The sequence below is a fragment of the Homo sapiens genome, chromosome 8 (assembly GCF_000001405.40).
Source record: "Homo sapiens chromosome 8, GRCh38.p14 Primary Assembly".
Taxonomy (NCBI): Eukaryota; Metazoa; Chordata; class Mammalia; order Primates; family Hominidae; genus Homo; species Homo sapiens.
This window is the reverse complement of record NC_000008.11, coordinates 59,509,306-59,513,850: the sequence shown is the minus strand read 5'-3', so window position 1 is coordinate 59,513,850 and position 4,545 is coordinate 59,509,306.

Below are 4,545 nucleotides of genomic sequence, written 5' to 3'. Positions count from 1 at the left end.
CATAAAGTTAGAAAACAAGAAAGAGAGAAAATAGGAATCTCCTATTTTATTTCTGTTCTCCCTGTCAAAGAGAATGATCTTCACACTGGAAAGTCTAGGAAATATATTGGGTATGGGAAATTGAAACTGAAAGATAAGTGAAGAGATTGTAAGAGAGCACCCAGCTACTCAAAATGAATCCAATTTTCTGGAGCCAGATGAATTGTTCTAAGATACTGAGAGAACTTTTTAGCTGAGAGCACTTGGCTACCATCATTAATTGTTAAGGGGATGTAAAAGAAGAATAAATGTTATCCTGGTTTCAAAAAGTTTCAGAAGGTGCCTTTCACAAACCATAGATGTGGGGTCTTTTACTTTTTATTCTTGTATTTCTTGGGCTTGATATGTTGTAAAAGAATTAAGATAATTCTCTAGAGCAAATGTTTAATCTGTTGAGATGTGAGCTTGTGGAAAGGAAATGAGCAATCACTAGGAACCATATTGGATTTAGAGGGACTAGGTCATGGGGGACCAACTACAGAGCTGGTCTCTCACTCTTCTTTGTTCCTGTGGGTCACTTTCCCCATATCTCTGTCATGGCTCTTGTGTCATGAGGGAGGTCTTTACTTACATATGGTGTTTCTTTCAATGGACTGTGAGCTCCTCAGGATTTGGAGGACACTCTATTTTAGAGTCTGAGCCTGTAACATTCCGTTTATTTTTATAGCACTAGAAAACTGCAGGTTTGGGTGCAATATCAACTACAGTCAGAGTTAGGGTACACGTGTGGCATTTGACAAAATTGTTAATTATGCACAATGGAGAAAAGCTCTACAATTAGGACTTGTAGATTGTTAAGTTGCATTAGCCAAGGAGCAGAGGCTAATGGATGTTAATGAGAGGAAGATCTCTATTTAGCTCATATAAAGTCTTATCTTCATCTCTGCCTTTTTTGAAATTGCAGAGGTCCTTGTCTATGGCCCTACCATCTTGAATGTGCCCAATCTTATCTGAAATTGTAGAGTTCCTAGATACACTCAGAAAGCTTACGAATCACATAATATTGACCGAGCACTGTGCCAAGCTTGTGTCACGGTTAAAACAGTGGACGAGGAGGGGCTCAGTCTTCACTATGGGAGCATGTGAAGCCTGACAGAAACAACAGATAAATATTTTTAAATGAAACAGAAGAAATGTCAGTGGCTGCTCCATAATCTCCCCATAGGATGAGTTTAGTGTTGGTAATCTTATTGAAATTTGCCTGTAAGGCTTGTGTTTAAGTTGCATTTCTATAGCAAAGAGACTAATTTTATTTAGCTATTTGTTTATTTGGGGGCCTTTAGAGTGAGGGATGCTCTGGAAAATTTGGGGAACACAGGTTGATCTGAAGCTTGTTGACAGTGAGTTTTACGACAGAGAAAGTACAGATTGCACTGGGGTTACCTAGTGGAGGTATCTAACCTAGGTCTACATCCAACAGACATATGACCTAATTTAGTGGAACTGATGTCATACCTAAGCCATGAAGATGAATAAGAGGGAGAAACGGGGTAAAAACAAGTGTTGCAGGTGGAAGGAAAAGTACCTGCCAACTTCTAGAGGAAGGATCATGGGCCCTTAGAAGATCTAGAAATTTACTCCAACTAGAACACAGATTGAGAATGGAGGGAGTGTGACATGATGGCCCTGTAAAGAATTACCATAAGAAGCCTTGTCATTGCAAAGGTACAATCTGTACTTAATCCTCTGAGTAGTGGAAGCAAATATAGGTTTTTAATGCTGGAGTATAACAATCAGTTTCTGTTTTTAGTAAGACTTCTTGATATGGAGAACACATTGGATGGGCTACACATGGAGGGAGGATGACTACTTAGAAAGCTGTCACAGTGGCAGGAGATTTTGACAGGGAATAGAGCAAGGGAGGAGGGACCTGTGAAATAGTTACATGGTCATATTGATAGAAATCTGGGATCTGTTGCATGGGAACATGAAAAAGGGGAAGAGTCTTTTGAAATTTCTAAGTCTACAGCATGGATTCCTGTATGGAGAGTGATGCCACTTACTTGAGGTAGAACATGGGAGGAAAATCATGTATGGATTTTGGGGGGTAGATTAGGAATTCGGTGTGATAGGTGATGCACAGGAGAGAGGCAGTAATGGAGATGCATATAACGAAATCTACTCTATATAGATTAGTCATTTTTCTTTTTCATGCCTGCCTTTAAGAACTTGATTGTTGTTATGGTACGAAATGAACATACACACGACAATGTTTGTGAACCCCTTGGTTAGCCTTTTTGGATTCTAGATGAAGTATCACTATAGGGGGATGAATAGAGTCACCTAGAGAGTCTGTGTAGATTGAGAATAGGAGAAGGCATAGTATGGGACCCTGAAAAATAATAGCAATGGGCAGAGAATAATGACCCTGTAAGATAACTAAGGAAGAGAATTCAGAGGGTTCAAAGGAAAACAAGTGGAGATTATGTCACGAAAACTAAGTGAAAAAACATGTGAAGCATGTGGAACTTCTTAACAGTGTAAAATATGAGAGGGGTGGGCAAATACGCTGAATGAACAAATGAGGGCATACACATATTTCAAGCAGCTTGAATGATACAATAAATCCACCAAGAAGAAATTTAGTATTATTAAATGTAAAGGCCTATCCTGGGTCCAAATAGTTAACTGAAAAAATGATATGATAGAAACATTTTTATTTAACCAAAATACATGAAAGACATTAGGGTTAATGTGGATCATTAGAGTAATTTTCGTCTACAATAATGGACATAGAATAGGAAAAATAAGTTATAGTCTCAATCCTAGGCCTGAGTAGCTTTTAGTAGTTTAAGATTTGCCTTTGTAGTCTCAAAAAAAAAAAAAAAAGACTTGCCTTTGTAAAACAGATAGGTTAGAAAATATTTGTGTCTTAGAAAATATAAATTGAACCAATATTGATTCAGTAATAATAATAATAATAAGTTGATTCAGTAATTCAGAGAATTCCTGGAAATTACTTATACCTAGAAATGACTGCTTCTTAAATTGGTATGTTCCTCAATAATGTAGAAGAAGTTCCAGCAGAGGTTACATGGTAGAACGTCCACAATATTAAAAGACTAATCAGGCAGCAATTTGAGATTGGAGCTGGATAACCATTAAGTTTTATATTATTTTTTCTAATCGATGATTTGAAGATTTCTGGAAAAAATTAAAATATAAGCATTATTAAATCTAGAGAAAACTATAAATGTTCTCTCAGTCAACCTATGGTTCTATAATTGTGTTATCTAGGTTTAATCTTTCCTATACTGTAATTGTTTTACAACCCCGACAAACTTTAAACACAAAGTTCTATTATAGTCATTCAAATGTTTAAAATAATGATGGATAGATAGACAGATGGGTAGAAAATAGATAGATATAGATATATAGATACTGATATATATTTTAACTCTCTGGATATAATAAAATAAAATGAAATATATCTGCTAAAGCAATGTTGATGCAAAAATAAATAATGAATATATTAAGTTGTTACCACAATATACAGCACCAGAAAGGTACTTATAAAATTAACATTTAAAAATAAAAACCTTCCTATTTCCAGAATTATGTAATACAAATGACTTTCATCAAACTTTCAATACTTTAAGTTGATCATTGTCTTGAAAATCTAAAGGAAAATAGACACAAAAATTGTAACTAATGAGGAAAAAACTTCTCTTTGAAAGCCTATGCAAACAATGCATTATGAATAATAATAAAACTAAGAACTTTTCCTGCATTCCAGGCAATTTTATAACATTGAAAAGGAATAGCTTAAAAATGAAAAGAAGCAAATTCTTAATCAAAATTTGTACAAACTGATCTGTATCTTATATGTGCTGTTATTCACACATAGTGTAGAAAAAAAAACTTTGGTCTTGTCCAGCTGCTGGAGAAAGGAAGGTTGTGCCTATATTGAAACCTGGCTCAGATCATCTGCCCACAAGAGTTGATTCCAGCCAGCCTTATGGCTTTGCCAAGAAATAGGGAGAAAAAGATGCTTACGATGACTTATTCAATGCAGCAAAGAGAAAGAAAAGCTGTATGTTTTCTATGGCCCTGTGTAATTCAGGTCCAAAATGATTCATTCCTCTTGAGCAAGGATAAGCTTAAAAAATTAGCGCATTTTCCTCTACTTCAGACTTTAGTGTCCACATCAGCAAAACTGAACAAAGAGCTCACTTTGAAAGAAACCTTACAGCAGACAGCAAAACCTGACCACAAAAAGACCCATTTGTGAAGAGATTATCACCAAGGCAGCTTGTGGTTAGATACCTTACGATTTGAGACAAAATAGGTTCCCAGGAGTCATGGTTCTTTAGGAGAAAATAGATTCACAGGAGTCATGTTATTATTATTATTATTATCTTTATTGTGGTTTTGTTTTGTTTTGTTTTTGAGATGGAGTCTCGCTCTGTTGCCCAGGCTGGAGTGCAATGGCACAATCTTGGCTTACTGCAACCTCCGCCTCCCAGGTTCAAGCAATTCTCCTGCTTCAGCCTCCTGAGTAGCTGG